General features: G+C 40.9%; 1 protein-coding gene across 21 annotated transcripts in view; it reads right to left on the bottom strand.

Moving 5' to 3' along the window:
* AUTS2 (activator of transcription and developmental regulator AUTS2) overlaps positions 1–19,965 on the bottom strand; it is a 1,195,032-nt gene that overhangs the window by 878,986 nt on the left and 296,081 nt on the right. For all 21 annotated transcript variants that reach the window (XM_011516010.3, XM_011516013.3, XM_011516014.3 and 18 more), the window contains one exon: positions 15,023–15,235. In XM_011516010.3, coding sequence (XP_011514312.1) covers positions 15,023–15,235 — 213 coding nt within the window. The remainder of the gene's footprint in view (positions 1–15,022; positions 15,236–19,965) is intronic.

The following is a 19,965-nucleotide window of genomic DNA, read 5'->3' as shown; positions in this document are numbered from 1 at the left end:
CGCAGGGGTTGCTTGGGATAAATTTTTGCTTGGTGTGCAGCATGCGCTCATCAGTATCTTATTTTACATTGCATATCCCCAGAGAGAGAAGACAACAGTCATACTGTATTGGGGTCTGGATTGTTTGTGTGTGTGTGTGTGTGTGTGTGTGTGTGTGTGTGTGTCTGTGTGTGTGTGTCTGTGTCTGTGTGTGTGCTTTTTTTTGTAGCCAATTAAAGTTGGAATGTAACAGGAGTGTGGAATTAGCAATGTCATCCATTGCAAAAATTATTCAAACCACTCAACTTTAATTATTGAGTGCCACCTTCTGTGTGCCAGGCAATGTGCTACAAACACTGTGGTGGAGGTGATATCTCTCCTCAGTAGAGCTTGGAGTGCAGCAGAAGGTGCAGACATAAGGAAGGACATAGAAAGAAAAATCTATAATTATAAATGTGGTGTTAGGAAGTTAAAAAGGTGAGTGCAAAACACAGAAGACAAATGGCAGATCCTGAGTTAAATAAACCATATGGTCGAGAAAAGCCCCTATGAAAGATGACATTTCAGTTCAAGCCTAAAGGACTAGAAGGATCTCATCATTCAAAAAACAGAGGGGGAACCATTTCTTCCAAAGAGGATAGCATAAGGTGTCCAGGGTACGAAGGAACTTGGCATGTGGGAGGGAATGGAAGGTCGGGAGCTGGAGCCAGTAAGCAAGGGAAGCATGACATGAAGCTGAAGAAACAGCACTGGATAACTGGGCACTGCAGATGATGGGAGTCTGATTTTCAATCTGAATACCCTGAGAAGCAGTTGAGAGGATTTACTTGTGGGAATAATATGATCATATGTATATTTTTAAAAGATCACTCTGGCTAGCATATGGAGAAAAGACTGGAAAGAGACATGAATGGAAACTATAAATATGAGAAGGGTATCCTCGAGTAAAGGATAGCAGTGGTTTTAAGGGTGTTGTTTCCCAATATGTGACATAAGCCTAGGCCCCTTGCTGTGTCACACAGTGAGGTCCTCGAGGAGCTCAACATTTCAGTGGAAAGAAGAAAATGTATACCTCCAACTCAAAACAGAGTATGGTATGAAAAAGGCCAAAAGTGAATTACAGAGTGACTATATATCCCAGTTTTTCAGGAAGTCCTGATTAATGCTTATTGTTCCAAGGTAATTATTAATGGTTCCCCCTTTCATTCCCAGTAATGTCCTAAATTAGCTGATAAATTCTGGGGTGACCCTTGTTATAAACAAAGGATCATAAGAGTTGGGAAGACAATGCAATTACTTACAAGGAAAAAGATCATAAAAACTTCAAGGAAGAAGTGGGTCTGAACTAGTCAATGGAAGACAAATATGTCAAAAAAGAATATTCTAAACAAAGAAAATAGCCAAAGCACAGGCACAGGAATGTGGAGAAAACACAGGGTTCATCCAAATAGCAGTTGTAGTTGCAGCTTGGTGTTTACAGAGAGTGGGAAAGGCAACTGGGAAGGTACATTGCAGCAGGATTAGTCAGGGCCTAAAATGTCCTATACTAAGAGGCTTCAATCTTATTTAGATGGCTGTGGATGGTCACTGAAATTTTTTAAACCAGAGTACAATAGCAATGAGCTAAATAATGCTGCACTAATCTAGAGATGATAAATCTAAAAGTTTACCGAAAAGAACCAGCACAGTAAAAGGAACAAGGAAACAGGAAGCAAAGGCATTTTGTGACTCTGAGAGCAGATCTAAGTGATGTCCCATGCAATCCTGGCTGGGTCAAGAAGCTAGCAAAAGACACTGGGTGGAAGGAGGGAGTAAAATGAAAGCCAAAGAGCTGAAGGTAGGCTCAAGGACAGAGATGAAAGGAGAAATATGGGTCTGCTCAGTTTGAAAGGGGGAAGAGAAGAGCAGGGGCAGAATGACCATGAAAACGGTTTTTAAACTCCATATTCTTTCCTTCTAATACTGTACTATGTCAATTTGTCTCCTTAGTCTATCTGGAGAACCATGGGGCAGCCCTAATATACTCCCTACATGGTCCCAGTGATGGCAGTGGCAGCCTGTCTGGAGCAGCCGCTGCCAAGATGCTGGCTGCAGCCGGGGCTGTATGCTCTGAGGAGCCGGCTGGGGCCAGGAACAGGCAGGAGCCCCACCCTCCACTGAGTTGGCAGAGAGGGAGATTCATGCTCCTGGGCACACATGCAGCTGCCCAGCTGTGGCTCCAGACCCAGGCATCCCTGAGCTCTCAGGCGCCTGGGGAAGTGCCCCTGCCCGAGCAGTCTTGGAAGTGCCTACTCTCGCTACCTGGCCTCTCCCCATACCTGGCTTCTCCCCATACCTGGAGCCCACTCTGATTTCAGAGGAAAATTGAGGCTAAGCCTGAGTGCTGTCACAACCTGGCCAGGCATGCATGCACTCGGGTGGCATTGACACGCCAGCCCCCTGCCACCTCAGCACCCCCTCCAGATTTTGGGCACCCATGAGCACAAGAGGGAGGCCAAGGTAGGACTGAAGGTGGCTCAGCGTGGGCCTACAGGTGTCCCTTGGCATCAACAGCCTGAGTGCCATGGATGGCACATTGATGGTGGGAGGCAGACAGGTTTCAGGGCAGAAAGGGACAGGTCCCCAGTGAAATTCCACCTTCAAGCCAGGGACAACCTGAAGCCTAGCGGCCAGGGTGCCAGTTCCCGGTGGAGTCTGCCGCCCAGAGTGAAGACTTCATTGATGACCATTTGGCCAATCGGATGGTGCTTTTTCCAGGCCTGCCCATGGACCAATCAACATGTACTTCTTCCCTTCTAAGCACATAAAAACCCGAGACTCAGCCAGGCTCAAACAGACATCGGACTACCAGCTGCAGAAAGGAGCTACCACTGCGGCTCGCCTCTCCACTGAGAGCTGGACACTCATAGGGATGACCTGCCTGTGGAAAGGAGTTACCCACTTGAGGTCTCCTGGGAGCTGTTCTGTGGATCAAATAAAGCTCCTCTCTGCCTTGCTCACACTCCAGTTGTCTGCTGTACCTCATTCTTCCTAGGCATGGGACATGAACTCGAGACCTGTTGAATGGCAGCACTGATGAGCTGTAACACAAACAGGGCTGAAACACACTTTCCCCCCTGCTCGCCACGTTGCAGTTAATGAGAAGGAGAGAAGAGCTGCGGCCCTTTAGGGAGCCCAGACCTAGGGGCTCCCTGAGGCAGGGCTGTGACACCCTCTTTGGGGCTCTGTGGTTCCTGGTATCTCCAAGCTTCTGGGTGCCACCTTGTTGCCCTCATCCAGACAGGGGTGCCCACAGTGGAAGCCACATGCAGTACATCTTGTCCAGCCACAGCCTTGCATGGAGCCAGCACCTGTTCTGGTGCCTGGGGCTGCCCACCCTGCCGCAGCAGCAGGCATGCCTGGCTGTGAGCAGTGGCCATACCCCAGGCTCACTCACTGATATGGCTTGGCTGTAGCCCCACCCAAATCTGATCTTGAATTGTAACTCCCAGAATTCCCACATGTCATGGGAAGAACCCAGTGGGAGGCAAATGAATCATGGGGGTCTTTCCCATGCTGTTCTCGTGATAATGAGTAACTCTCAAGAGATCTGATGGTTTTAAAAACAGGAGTTTCAGGCCAGGTGCAGTGGCTCACGCCTGTAATCCCAGCACTTTGAGAGGCCGAGGCGGGCGGATCACGAGGTCAGGAGTTCAAGACTAGCCTGGTCAACAAAGTGAAACCCTGCCTCTACTAAAAATACAAAAATTCGCTGGGCGTGGTGGCAGGTGCCTGTAGTCCCAGCTACTTGGTAGGCTGAGGCAGGAGGATCGCTTAAACCAGGAGGCAGAGGTTGCAGTGAGCTGAGATCACACCACTACACTCCAGCCTGGGTGACATAGCAAGACTCCGTCTCAAAGAAATAAAAAATAAAATAATAAAATAAAAACAGGTGTTTCCCTGCACAAATGCTCTATTTGCCTGCCACCATCCACGTAAGATGTGACCTGCTACTCATTGCCTTCTGCCATGATTGTGAGGCCTCCCCAGCCATGTGGAAGTGTAAGTCCATTAAACCTCTTTTTTTATAAATTGCCCAGTCTTGGGTATGTGTCTATTGGCAGCGTGGAAAAGAACTAATATACTCACCCACACACCCCTTGCCACTCTACGCCTGGCTCGCCCTTGGCAGGTGTGGGATCTGGGCCAGTAGCATGAGCCAAGTGCAGCCTGCTGGGCCAACTGGGCAGAACAAGCCCAGTGCCCAGTGAGCATGAGCAATACTCAGAGAGAAGGTACCCCTGCCACAGAGGATTCCAGCTGGCAAGATGACATCCCAAGGATCCCATGACACCAATATACTCCCCTTCAAAAACATCCATATAATCACATCCCCTCAACACCTTTCCCTATCCTTCCTACTGCCATGTTTATCTGAGAAATACAGATTCAGAATTAAGTAGAGAGAGGTAGGGGACAGGTAATGATAAATTATGCAAGTGGGCTGCTGAAGTTTCACAAAGTACCATGCAACCTTCCAGCAGTGCACACCAGGCCCACTACCACCCAGCTTTGTATTTCAAAACTGCTTTTCTCATCATCATTTCTTAGGAAAATTTGATGATAGTATTTTTTAAAATCAAAAGTCATTATTAATAATCTTTCTCATATGATAATTTCATTAGCAACTATTCGGTAGATTATTTTGCACTAATCTCCAGGAAAATAGCATTTTTGGCCTCATAGCAATATATAAAAAAAGAATGCTACCTACTGTTGACAAACCTCAGGCAATTGTTAAATCCTAAGAATAGGTTTTGCTATTTAAACAAAAATTCTTATGAGAATTTTTATTCTGTTTGGCTTTAGAAAGGAAAATATTTCTTTTTGAATTTGTGGAATCAAAATCGTAAATTCAATTATAATATTTTTATTAAACTGAAGCTTTGCTGGTAATGAAGAAAATAACAAATGGCCTTTAGTCTCCACTGATATGGGCAATATTTTCAGATTTCTTTCACACTTGACCCCCAGTACCAAATATCACCAACTTTTGTAATTTGAAGGGTTCAAAAAATGTATAAACCTTAAGAGCTCATCATCATTGTCTACAGATGGGAAAAAACAAGAAATTAGAACTTTAAAAAAATGAAAAATAAAAAACTCCGGTTAGCATCTTTATAAACAGCTATTATTTGAGTGAGCCAGTGGGCCTAAGGAGAGAATACTAGAATACAATTATTCTATCAGGTCCATTCTAGTAAACACCTAGAAAAAGTAGCTATTTTGAAAACATCATTTTTTGTTATATAATGTCTACATCATCTGGCAGAAACATTTCTTTCTTGCCAATACATTTTGGAAGATAACTCAATTAGTAAATGTACAGAACAAAAATATGATCCAATTATTGATAAAATTAATTTCCGCAAGATATGTTGTTACAATTTTATGATTCTTCCCAAGTTTTGCTAACAATATTGCAATTTTTAATTGAAAATAAAAAATAAGTACAGTTTATTTAAAAATATGGCTCCTGCAGCACCTGTACTGGAGTCACTGAAGGAACTCCAGTTCCTTGTTGCCACACCCTGACCCCCACCCAATGGACTATGCCAAGGTGATTACCTGGGAATCTGCATTTTAACAAAAGATCCACAGTTGCTCTGACATAGGGGTTCAAAGACCACCCTTTGAGAAACATTATTCTGTATGTTCCCTACTCAGAATATGTAGCTAATTGCTTCTCCATCTAATTATAGCCAATCTCAACCTCTCAGAACCATCACCAGCAATTAGGACCTGTCCAGGTTTGTAATACATGATTTCAAGATGTATGAGCAAACACTTCCTGAGCAAATGCAGGTGCAAACAGTGATTACAGAATGACCTGCTACATCAGCGTCACTGCAGGCAGGCACATAGGAGAAGTGGCAGCTTCTGCAGAGCTGTGATCAATGAATGCAGGTATAATGTTCCAGAAGGCCACATGGCACAGCTCATCAGGCCTCCTGAGAGACATAAGGTGGTCCCCCACAGGACTTGCCCACATTTGTGAGCTATTTTGGTTTCTGCTCCTGTGTGTGTCTTTGTGAGCACTGGTGTGAGGATGCACACCCCTAGGTGTAAAAAGCCCCAGAGTAAATAACAAAGTTATATCTGCCTGATATAAAATCATCAACACTTGCATCAATAGGCAATGCTCCAGAGTTCATTTAGAATACCAAGACAGGTTCTTTTAAACATCATTAGGACCCAACAGCAACTCAAATGCATTAAAACAGCTGGGTTCCTGTGGCAAAGCAGGTCTAATGGGACTGAGGGTTAAGTACAGCAAGGGGTGTGTCTCCTCACCCCAAGCCTCGGGGGCTCTCTAAGAGCAAAGAGTGATAGTAGTGAAAGCGTATAATTCAGCACGGTTTTGTCCCAGATAGTATTCACTGAAATGTTCAAGGGAAAACTAAAAAAATGCAGTTATATTGTATCTATATTCATATTTAATTAAAAAGAGAGTTAACAGCACTTCCAAGAGGGAGGTCATTCCTTGTTCAGCACAAGATTTCTGTGCAAAGCTATGGGCAATAAAACAATTCAACATATAAACATTTACAAAAGCTACCATTTCAGTAATGCTACTAATGCTTTAGCAAACAACTCTGAAGATAAGAAACAAATCACAATCCTGCAGCTGGGGGCAGCCATAAGAGAATCAAGATCATCAACCACTGTCAAAGTCCAATAAAATCCACCCTCTCTCTTCCTTCTTCTCTTGTTTGCCTCTGGGCTCCAACTGCCTTTAACAGAGTTGTATCATATGAAAATGTTTACAAGAAACAAAGTTATATGTAAGAACTTGAATATGATACAGTTGGCCCTCTGTATCCATGGATCCAACCAATGGCAGACCAAAAATGTGGCCTACAATGGTTGCTTATATACTGAACATGCACAGGCTCTTTGTCTTGTAATTATTGCCTAAACAATGCAATATAATAACAAATTGCATAGCTTTTACACTGTACTAGGTATTATAAATAATTTAGAGATGATTTAAAGTTTGTGAGAGGATGTGTGTTGGTTACATAAAAATACTATAACATTTTATTTAAGGAACTTGAACATCCACAGCTTTTAGTATCCATGGGGAGTCCTGGAAAGAATCCTCCTTGGATACGGAAGGAAAAATGTATCCCAAAGTTCAAGAGAACAAATAACCATTTACTCCTGCATAGTAACTTTATGAAGAGCTAAAGGAAGAAAGGAGGATGAAGTCCTACGATAAACTCACAGAGAACACTACAAGATGTCAGCAGATTTTACATAAGAACCTCACACAGTTGTATACATTTAAAGAGAACTACACAAAGGTAAGACATGAGCAGGCAGCTGGGATTGCCAAGCATTCCCCTAGGTTGGTTTCCAGACAAATAGGTGTTTTGTGTGGTTTTCTTTTTTGGAGACAGGACCTCGCTCTGTTGCCCAGGCTGGGGTGCAGTTGCGTGAACATGGCTCACTGCAGCCTTAACTTCCTGGGCCCTTGCAATCCTCCCACTTCAGCATCCCAAGAAACTGGGACAACAGGCATGCGTCACCATGCCCAGCTAATTTTTTTATTTCTCTAGAGACAAGGTCTCATCATATTGCCCAGGCTGGTCTTGAATTCCTGTGCTCAAAGCAATCCTCCCACCTTAGCCTCCCAAAGTGCTGAGATTACAGGCGTGAACCACAGCACCCATACCAATAACTGTATGTTTGACCCTTTGGGCAAGGTGTGACATTCAACTCTGCCTATGTATATACATAACTGAATCTCCAAATGCACCTTTGGCTTTTACAGTCTTAGAAAATGAATTACAAATTGGGCATGAAGACATCCAACAGTTCTCAAGCAACATTTACCACACAGAATTGCCTGCGTCTGCCTGTCTTAAAGCCCACCCACAATTTCATTTTCAATTAACAGCTCCTCGAAAGGCAGTAATGAAAGCAGTTGCTAAAGAGCATTCAGATGTCACCGAAAGACTGCAAACCCAAACTGTAAATAGCACATTGTGAGTCGCCTGTCACCACCATCAACTCCCACGGGAATCACGCAGCATGTGGCTATCACAACCATCTGCTCAGTTCCCCACCACCACCAGTGCAAACCACACAGACACCCATCTCCTCCCACTTCCCACTCATTACCTGTCATGTACAGACTTGTGTGGATACAAGATTGCTGTGAACAGAGATTAGAATGCAGAATGTACAGAGGCTTATTTCATGTTCTTTAGCTGAGATCTGGCCACATGCAGATAACTTTATATCATCACAAGAGGGAAAAATGTAAAATTTAATCAGCACAAAAATACACAGTTTCAAATAAAGAAAGGGAGTTCTGTCCTACCCTCATCAACTACCAAAAGTGTACTGGCTAGGCCTTATTAAAGGAAAGATGTGCTCCCTCATTCTTCAATCACTGACATTGTAGAAATTTATGGGAGCCAGAGTTGAGAATCACTCCTGTCACTTTATCTTTCTTAACTCCTCTATCAATATATGGGATTTAAATGGCCCTTAATAAAGTTCTGCATGCACAAATACACATATAAAATTTTCTTACTTTGGGAAATATAAAAGGTCACTGTTTTATGGAACAACTCCTGTAGGTATCAGGATCACCCAAGCTGAATTATGGCCCATTCTTTTCATTGCAGTTCCTTTTCCCATTCAGCTTATTTTCTCTCTGCAGGTTTTATTTTATGAGGTGGTAGTTAATGTGCTGTGTTGGTTAATTTAGGGTATCAACTTGACTGGATTAAAGAATACCTAGAGAACTGGTACAGCATTACCTTTGGGTGTGTTTGTGAGGGTGTTTCCAGAGGAGATTGGCATGTGAGTCTCAGTGAACTAAGTAGGGAAGGATCTGCCCTCCATGTGGGCAGGCACCATGCAATCAGCCGGGTGTCCAGATAAAACAAAAACAGAGGAAAGGCGAAATGGTCTCTCTCTCTCTCCTAGAGCTGGGATATAATTTCCTGCCCTTGATCATCTAAACTCTAGGCTCTCTAGGCTTTGGACTTGAGGACTACCCCAGTCTCAGGCCTTCAGACTTGGTCTGAGCCATACTGTGAATCCCAGGGTCTCCATCTTGCAGATGGCTTGTTATGGGACCTCTCAGCCCCCATAATCATGTGAACAAATTCCCCGAATGAATCCCCTCTTATCTACCCACATATATATTCTACTGGTACTTGCTCTCCAGAGAATCCTAATACATATGCTATGTCCTTTTCATAGTCAATTTTTACTAAATTTTTATTTAAAATTACAAATGTCATTTAGGATAAAATTATTACTGGTCATAACATTCCAAAGATGTATCTCACTGAAGTTAAGTGATGTTTATGCTCACTATTCCCAACATTCAGGGCTCACAGCAACAAAGTATAGAGTCAAAAGACACAAAATGAAAAACACGAATAAACCTGTTTCCAAATGCTCAAGATAAAACAAAAGCAAAACACCTTTCATATAACTCATTATTATATTAGTGTCAGGTTTACCAATCCCAGTTACAAACCAATACTTCCAATACAATACGTGAGTAATTCCTGAACACAGACAAGCCTAGATTGGGGTTCTTCAATTACCTGATGTTAAAACTAGCATCTCACTCTTATTCAAGTCAATCAATATTCCAAAGAGAGATCATAAGCCAATCTTTTATTCCCTCCATCTTTCCTTACAGTTTTTCTTATTTCTATACTTTAGGCAAGGGGAAAAAGTAGTATGCAACTTAAATTCATAAAAAGGAAAAAAATATAAAGAATTTTATTTGATACCTTAGCTTGTAACCTTCACATGACTACAAAATTTTTCGAAAGCAAATGAAATCCCAATTAACATGGTAAACTTGAAATTTTGAAGTATGAGGTAGAAACGGTTTAACTGACATTCTTAATACTAGTTCAAGGTACCAGCAGACATCTAAATATTATAACAAAAGTATGTATGAAAGAGCACATAGCAAAGTTCATGTCTTTTCATTATGACAGTAAAATCCCAAATTACATTCGTGTCTCAAATGCTCTGATTTCCAGAAACCTGTAGGCTCTAGAGTCAAGCTGGATAAATACCTGTGTGATTTTTGGCCTAGATTTCCATCCAAAACTAATTAGCAGATCTTCAGAAACGAGACTTGAACTGGATCCGTTTAATCAAAGTTTTCCATTATAAATCCTCCTTTGCAAGTTAATTTCTACTAGTAACAAATTTAGAGAAAGCTCTTCAGACAAAAGCAGTAAGTCTAAGTCGTGCTGAAATAAGGGACCAGCCTCTGGTAGCAAACACTCTCAACAGGAAAGAGCATGGGCTGGGATAGACTGTTCCATCAGGACAGGTGGGAAGAGAGGGTGGCTCAGTCACCTGGGCTCTTAAGTCTATAGCACCACTATCACTTACTCCAAGGAAGACCAAGGTACAATGTCAATACATGAAGCAGATGCAACCATGCAGAGTTCTAGTAATCACTCTAATTTTAAATGCCTGGCACTGGGATGGATTCCTCTTCTTCCTAGAAAGCAGTAGACACTTTTGGTGTCTACAGTTTACAATGTCAACTACAAATCTCCCACCATACTGGATTTTCAGAGAGAGAAGAGCAAATTTTTATTCCTAAAAAGAAATACCTACCCAGATCAACTTGTATAAAGATTTTTAAACCACATAAGACATTCCCACATAAGCCATCCTTACCAGCAAGGTTAGAGTCTACTAACAGGCTCCTGAAATATTCACAAATTCCTCCATTTTCCTCTAAAATGATGTTCTCCTGTGACTAAAGCAATCTCAACAGGTTGCCTCTTTCTTTAGGAAATTCTGCCCTAAGATGAATGGCTTTTTGGCACCTAAAATTCAGTTAAGGAGGGAGACCACAGGATTTATTTTGATGATTCATCTTGGTGTCTGTTAGAAGAGTTCATATAACCTAAAAATGCCTTCTAGCTCACTTAAGCCTATTTCCTCTGGCTCAGTTGATACTACAGAGAAAGGACAGACTAATGGACTAAATGGAGATTTAGAAATCCAGTCAGAGCCAAATCTGAGAGTTCTCTGAATGCTCATCAACTTTTCATCATTGGTACTCTATTTTTAAAACCCTTTTGCTCTCTGTGTGTTTTAAACTACAAAGTCCTAAATTTTTTAAGAATTCTCCATGGTCTAGAAGTCAGATATACTGAAATTAAACTCAATGCCCTGGGAAGGGTTAAGTTTTCCCAAAGTGCTTCTCAGGAAGTTATAATTTGGCTTATCGGTTTAGCGACACCTGACTTCCTTGTGTTCCTGAGTGGTTTCATTGTGACTTGGTCTCCCAATTAGAGAATAAAGCTCCTTAAGGAGAGGCCATGTGCAACCTCTTTTGCTTTTCCCACCCCCAAATCTCCATTGAGAAAAAAAAAGTACCATGTCCTTGTAAGTAAATGATAAAACTTTTTTTATATCATGTCTAAGTGCTTACATCATGAACAAATAGTTCATTTACAGAGGTCAGAAAGACATGCGCTATTTTGTATAAGAGTTGTATAAGAGGTAATTTATTGATTTCTTCATAATTTTAACCCCTTTGGGAAGTAAGAAAAGTATTCAAATTTCTCATATCAAAAAGTGCAACCATTTGCCAAGACAGGTGCCACCTCAGCATCTTCTAAGGCAGTATGTATTTATACTTAAAAACATAATCCAACAAATAAGTGTCAGTTTAAAAGCTTTCTTTTGGTAGTATGGAAAAACATCACAAGAACTTGGGTTTTACAACCAGGCAAGTGAAAGAATAAGCAGTTTGGTTTTAGAACTATACATCTTTCCTATAAAAGTATTATAATTGCACCCTCCGAGTAAAAAGATCAGTTGCCTTCAACGGAGTCTCAGAAAAAAAAATCCTATTCTTTCCTCTCTACTAAGGAGTAACATCTTCCCATAATTACAGGAAAGCTGTGCATTAAGTTGTCTGCTCAGGAAGTACCATTTCCTAATAAGATGCAAACCTAATTCATTCTAACCAAGTCAGAAATAAAGACTAAGTTCTCGCCTCTTCCCTATTTCATCTGTAGTTCTCAATAACAGGCACTAAATGACAATCCATTAATGTAGAAATGCTCCTCAAAGCTCACTCTCATCTCAAGGTCCCCTCCCAGCTAAGATGGTCAGATTCAGTTTCTTTACCTGATAAGAGGCAAACGCAGGCGATAAAGTAATTGTGATATTTACAGGCATCTAGGATGATAGGAAAGCAATCACGAGTATTCTTCAGACAAGCTTTTTGAACATCTACTATGGTCATTAAACACTCATGTGTCACCTTTTACCAATGATCACATAACAGATGGCAGTTGTCTGGACTGACACACAATGGACCACTCCCCTCCCTCCTACTATAAATGCATCTTACCCTTCTCCTTTAAATGTCTTCATATTACATGAAAACAAAATTTTAAAGAAAAAAAAACATTAAAAATAAATAAATGTCTTCACAGAGCCTATCAGTTACAGACTGACTCCAAAACGGCATTACCTTCAGACCTACAGACTCCTTTACAGACCTTTACAACACTGTATTTGTGTTATTCATAAATTTAAAAAACTATGGGACCCAGAGGGAGGAGCCTAAGAAACATTCAAGTCCAAGCCCTTCATTTTCCAGATGGGCTGTTACCAGATGGTGACTTGTTTGGGATTTCATAATAGCACAAGTGATTCTAAGAATATTAAAAATGAGAAGTATTATGGCCTTATCTCAATTATCACCTTCTGCATTCCTTCTTACTAGAAATATAACACTTGATTGGATAACATATTTTGGCATCAACACTGAAGGTAAGAAAATACTCCTTGTTTTTAAAAGTTTTACATAGGGCCAAAGATACAATTCATGCTTTCCTTCTCCATGATTCATAAAGAGTCAAAATACTTGCTTTTCAAATATGTTACCTAAAACAAAGATAGCTTTGATTTCAAATACCATTAGTACAAGAGAGTTGGCCATTAAGACCAAAAGCTACTCAAATTTAAGATGTGTTACGTCTTAGTCTTCTTTTCCGATCATAAAACTCTGTCACCAGAGGACCTTGAAAGTCTCGAAGAAGTAGAAAGAAATACAAAGAATAATTCTGAGGACACAGAATAGAAAAGTCAGATCACGTCTAGAAGAAAAAGATTCAAGGATGAGGATCCGCAGCTTGGTGTTAACTCAGAGTAAGAAGGCTTCCTTCTTACCCTGCTGGGGCGGGGGCCTGAGGGAGAGGGGGGTGGTTACATTGCAATCTCTCTCCACTGAGATTAATTACTTTTCTCACATATCTCACACAGAGGCATGAGTTAGGAGTCACAAATACCACAGGAACATCACCTTTTATAGAACTTAGGCTTTCCTCCCTCTCCCCAACTCCCTATCAAGAAAAAAATAAATAAAACTTCATCTAAATATGGAAAACAGAACAAACCACGGAACTAGAGATATCTGGGTCTAAACCCTGGCTCCTTCCCTCATTGACAAGGCCTCAGACAAGTCACTTTATCTCTTTGAGCCCTCGTTTCCATAGCTGTTAAGTAACCATGATATTACCTACTAGGCAGGGTTGTTGTACAAATTATAGGTTATACTATAAAAACTCCCTCACTGAATGTAGCATAGTATGCATTAGGTAAATGTTAATAATTACTATTATAACTCCAGTCTGGCGTTTCAGGACACAAGTGTACCTTTGGAAACACTGTGCTGGTTGTCAGATTTAGGCATTACCTTGGAAGCCTTCTGGGTCCATCTGAAACCCATCACCCCAGATGTTTTACCAGGATTATATGCTTCACTACGTATAAGGCAGAATTCTGACACCAAACTGCCCACTACATCATATTGAGGCTTTTGATCTTTCCAATCTTTTAACTAAAAACCATCACCCAAATACACTCTTGATTCTTTGTAAGAGTGACTTCCAACCAGGCTGACTGTTTTCAAATAGGAAACTTTCTAAAACTACAAATGTCATTAGGTCCTAAAGAGGGGCCAGAAATTTAGGTTTAGTAGCTCTCATTATATGATTCTCAAGATCTGTGTGGTTTGGGAACCATTGTTTTGTTTGATCCCAGATCTCCCTGCCTCTGCAGAGAAACATCTGCAAACCAAAAATTACCTATTCCACCTCTAATTAGCAGCACCTGCTCTGTACACCACAATTCCTTCCTCTGCTTTCTTCAGTGATAGTCAATCCTACCCAATGGTCCTGCCAAAAATAAATAAAACACACCCAGGACACAGGTAACTAACTTGACAGGCACTGAAGCCTCTGGATTTGTGCAGAAAAACTGCTATAAACAGCTTCATATCTCATTATTAATCCATCTCATGTGGGGATTTCCACAGGCAGAAAGGCTTCCCAAATGCCAAGAGCCATACTTTCTTGTGGATCATTGAAACCTAATTATTAACAGGCCAGTAAGCCTCATTATCAGACGTTCATACAATCAACAGATCACAAAGATAGTCTTGAATTATAGCCTATGGAGAACAACTAAGACACCAAAAGGCAAATTCATTTTTTGCCATTGCCCTCCCAGATGCCACAATATCTGAGCTTCCCCGGAAAATATAAATCTTAGCAAGGCATTTCTCACACACAGGCAATCATTTTAGCACCTTAGAACCATGAGATGCACAATGTATGTGATGAAATCCACCTGTTCCATTTATCCTAATTGCAAAGATCTCTCCCCTGCAAGCCAGTCCATCTTGACAACTGTTAAGACAGGTCTGCCCTAAATACCAGTACCACTTAGCATCAAGCTTTGTTGCATAAAGCACATCTGACTGAAAGGGCACCATGCTGAAGTTTCAAATCCTCATAGAAAGAGCTGAGATTGGGTTTTAGATTCTTTTAAAGGCACGCACACAGCTTTGTTGGACAACCACTTCAGCATCCCACCAAGGATATCTTCTCCACCTGTTACGAAAAACCACAGTGGAGGAAGCACCTAAGGAAGGGATTTTGCCGCCACAGGAAAGAGCGAACCCAAGCTTCCTCACCTGTCTGAGTGCCTTCGGCATTTTCTTTCTCTTCCCAAGGTGCTGGCAGAGATTGCGGTCATTTTCTCGATCTGAGCTGTAGTGGTGTGGGTGGCTGAGTCTGCTCTTCTTTGAATGAAAGGACAAGCCATTGGTAAGTGCTTCTCGTTTCTTCTTGGTCAGGGGCGTCTGGCGTTTCTCCACACGTTCCTGAGGCTTAAGTGCTACATCTTTCTGTAGAAAAGAAGAGAAGGAAAGGGAAGTGGTGGTTACAAAGGTATCTAGGGTCACACCCAAAATATAGGCTAAATACTAAAGGGTGTTACTACTAAGTGGGAGAGGGATAGGAAAGTGGGATATGAGAAGACCCAAAACTAAGAAACATGGCTTCTCAATTTTCCTGAATCCTTAATGCCATCACAAATATATATATCCTTTCTATTATTACTGGGCAGAAAACTAAACAAAACACAAGTATATGCATCAAAAGTGATTTCACTGCTCCCTGGGATAGCAGCTTTCTGTTCGATTTGGTGCTGGGTCCAGCACACAATGACCTTCCCCAAGGAAGTGCAATACACTCATTTCCCAAGTTGGTACATCAATTATGTTTCAGAAAATGAGCACTAAGTGCATGCTCAATTCAAAAGAAATAGCACCCAACTGAATTTATCAGGTCCAGGTGGATGTGAGCCAGCAAGAAAGAACTGTCTATTCATATGATTAAAATGTTTCCTTAATGCATTATATTTTTTTACATGTTCCTCTAAGCATCCTTTATTTCCATTTTCTTTGCAAAATGTAACAACAATATTATCACCAAGATCAACAGCAACTTTTAATTTATTCCTGTGTGTGGTTGGGGATGAGGGGAGGTGGGTAGGAAATGGGAAATCAATGTCCTTGAATGGGGAACTGCATCTGTAGAAACTACAGGTAAGCATTTCAGGCCACATGACCTGATAAGAGTTCTGTGCCTCCAGGCAGCTCAGTACACACCAAGGTTCCAACAGACTGGGCTTTTAGTGTCCGGACACTGACATTATTCATTATCAGAAGTGGAGTAAGTCACTACAACTCTGAGACCACGTGCAAAATGGGCTCTCAGAACATCAAACAAACCACATACATGCAAATATCCTCTGCCCTGTGAGAAATGATGCACACACTAAGCAATAAAATGAAAATGTTTTGGCACTCAGTTATTTGGAAACTAGTGGATCTAATCCTCTTACACAGAAAATCCCCCTCATGAAGCCTTACCACACTTCCTCAGTTTCTGCAGTCCTAAATGAACTTTTTAAAAATTTTTTCATTTCTGGGGTACATAGTCGGCATATATATTTATGACTTACATAAGATGTTTTGATACAAGCATGCAATGTGTAATAATCACATCAGGGTAAATGGGGTATCCATTACCTCAAACATGTATCCTTTGTATTTCAAACAATCCAATTATATTATTTTAGTTATTTTTAAATGAACAATTAAATTTTTTACTATCTAAATGTACATTTAAAAATAAAACAAAACCAAAATAGAAATTTCCTTTTACTCATTTCTCCTTAAAATACCGCTCTCTTTCCTCCCTTTCACATCCAATTTTCTCACTGTTCTGCTGCAATATCCCAGCACTCCCAACTTTACATGCATGGTACTCCCTGACATCTCTCCCCAAATCAGCCATTCCTATTAGTCTGAGACCTTGAGCCTTGTTATGATCTGAATGTTTGTGTCTCCCCAGAATATATTTTTTTTCTGAGACAGAGTTCGCTCTTGTTGCCCAGGTTGGAGTGCAACAGCACGACCTTGGCTCACTGTAACCTCCGCCTCCCCAGTTCAAGCGATTCCCTGCCTCAGCCTCCCGAGTAGCTGGGGTTACAGATGCCTGCCACCATACCCAGCCATTTTTTTTGTTTTTTTTTTTTTTTGTATTTTTAGTAGAGACGGGGTTTCACCATGTTGGCCAGGAGATGGGGGACTTTGGGAGTTGACTGGATCATGAGGGTGGAACCCTCATGAAGGGGATTAGTGCCCTTATAAAGGGCCTAAGGGAGTCTATTTGCCCCTCTACCATGTGAGAACAGGTACCATCCATGAGAAACAAGCTCTCACCAGACACAGAATCTGCTGGTGCCTCCACCTTGGACTTCCCAGCCTCCAGAACTGTGAGAAATAAATGTTTCTTGTTTATAAGCTACTCAGTTTATGACATTTTGCTAATGCAGCCTGGACAAACTAACGCAGGCCTTTACACTGATTTGCCTTGGCCTCAAAAGGCCTCTCTTACACACTCCTCCCTTTTCTAGTTCAGTGACTCTTAGCAGTGTTGCCCACTCAGGGAGACCTTTCTTGTAATACAAAGTACTCTATTCTCAGGTCTTCACTCATTCAACAATTATGTTTTGTGTGCCCAGTACATGCCAAGTACCAATGTAGCACTGACCTATGTTTAGGATGATAATGGTGTGGGGAAAAGTCACCACCCTCATAGAGCCTAGAATTTACAGGACAAATACTAATCAAATCACACAAATATATCATTGCAAACTGAGTTAACAACGCTAAAGGATAGGTTATGGGTGCTAAAACTAAGGGAAATGATATAGTCCAGAGGAGAGGGTTAGAGCTGAGAAAATGACTGCTATTTGACCTAGATCTGAAAGGCTGAACAGAGAGAACAGCTTGTGCAAAGGCCTTGAGGCAGCTGGGTGCATAATCTCTTGAAAGAATGTGAAAGAGGGGAGGGACTAAGTAGTTCATCTCAGTAATCCCAGTGCTTCACATAAGTACTTCACATAAACCAGGCAAATAGTAGGTGGCCAATGTATTAGTCAATAAATACATAAATAAAGGAGTCAACTAGTTAAAACATCCAAACCTATAAAGCACAATACTGACTTTAAAATAGTCTAAGCTGTCTCTAACATACAGTGTAGCAAGCCAGAAAGGGTGATAGAAGCAGGAAACCAAGGAATCTAGTGTGCACTGCTGGTATACACGAAGGATCACAGCAAACAGCAAGAAACCCCAGAAAAGGGGAAAGGCCTTATCCTTAAGAGTAAGAAGATATCAAAGATAACAGTCCACAAGGCAAATAAGCAGCTTCTGGCCTAACTTCCAGCTGCTACCACTGCAGACGATTAACCCTCTGCCATCGGAGAGGTAGCTCTCCTGAGGCAATGAGGATGTGGTGAAAAGTGTTTCAGGGGACAAGTCGAGATCAAAGCAAGCGCACATGGCCATTGATTTCACAGCCTTGCATGCTATGCCTAACACATAGTAAATGTTCAATGAATGGCTGCTGAATTGAATTCCTTTGTCCAGTGTCCACAACCTCAGTCAGCTATGCCAGGCATCTGCTCAGCTCAAAAATGTTCTGTGTTTAGTCTCACATTTAACCAAAATAGCTGCCATAAAGAGACACTCAGGAATAATGGCAACACTAGCAGAGGGAGCCAGGTGAGTTCCATCATGGGCTGCTTCTATATAATGTGATTAAATTGTACCACTTCTAAGTGTAATATAAAAACTCCCCACAGGGTATAAAGCTCCTTTCTTTGTCACACAACCCACCTACTGCCCTGCATCATATGCATGTAGAGGATCAGATTAATAAACAAATGATGCTTAATAATGTATCCACTGTGCTTTTAAAAAAATTATGCCATTCTCTTTGGAGACCAAATCTTTCATACTGAAGGTGCTTCCAAAGTATATTGAAAATTATGTGTAATTCCATACAAATGTGAATTAATATTTATGAGAGTATGCTATAATTTTTTCCAAATCCATTTTATTTTCATGTAGCATATTAATCAAGGAATTCTCACTGCACTGCAGAATAGCTACACAGAGCAAATGGACCCCATGCCGTGACATTAGCTTGTAAGAGACCTGCTGAAGTCTTAGCAGCAGTAGTACAATCATCTTAGCTCCAATTAATATTGAGATTTTCCACTCGGGGGGGGGGAAGAAGAGAGAGAGAGGATCAAAGTGTGTCTAGAGGTGGTGGCTTAAGAGGTAAGAAGAAATGAAGAGTCTATAACAACTTTTTATTATGTAACAGGTTTATATTTTCAGAGACTAGAGATTATCTTTATTTTTTTCAAAGATCTACCTTTATTTATAAATTACTATATAGATTTTTTGGTACAAATCCTGAATAAACCAGACCACTCTTTGTTCATTCCCTCTATAAACAGGTACTGACTGCTTACCATTTATAAAGTAAAATAACTATTTAATTTTTTCAGACTGTCTTGGAGAAAAATGACAAAAACTATCCATTATAAGCATTAAGAATCAAAGACAAAGACTGATCATAAACTAATCATCTTATCAACAGTCACAAGAGTTGTGTACATGACTACATGCCTGTGTAATTGTTTGTAAATATACACCCACCAATGCTTTCCTCCACCACCAACCAACCAGTAGCACTAATTTAAGAACTTCCTTAAGGAAACCTGGGCAGTCTCTAGTATTGCTATAATATGGGGAGGGAAATTATCTGGTATATAAAAAAACTTTTTGGGATCAATGAATGGCAATTTTCAAAGGCCTGTTGATTCATTCGTCTACCATGATCTAGGATAGTGGTTCACAAGAGAAACTGTCCATCAGAATTACCTGAAGAATTTTTTGAAAATAAGATGATTGTAGTCCATATTCTGCAAGGAAAGCATGAGCAAATGAAGAGTGGCAGAACACGCCACCCCAAAACATGCTATTTAGGCCTAAGGATTATTTTAAAGCTAAAGGCACTTGAAAAATAGAAACAAAAGAGATAGGAGAAAAGAAACATTATCACCAGAAACACCTGAGATGGGAAAAAACTCTCATGTGAAAGATGATCTCCCTATAGTAGGAAAGAAGAAATTTTCTCGTTTCTAGACATGGGGAGTCCAGAAAAATTTGTACCAACAGATCTTACTAACTCTTATCTTCCTTTAGCCACA

The sequence above is a fragment of the Homo sapiens genome, chromosome 7 (genome assembly GCF_000001405.40).
Source record: "Homo sapiens chromosome 7, GRCh38.p14 Primary Assembly".
NCBI classification, from domain to species: Eukaryota; Metazoa; Chordata; class Mammalia; order Primates; family Hominidae; genus Homo; species Homo sapiens.
Note: the sequence above shows the minus strand (reverse complement) of the source record. Positions and strands in the feature narration are given on the sequence as shown.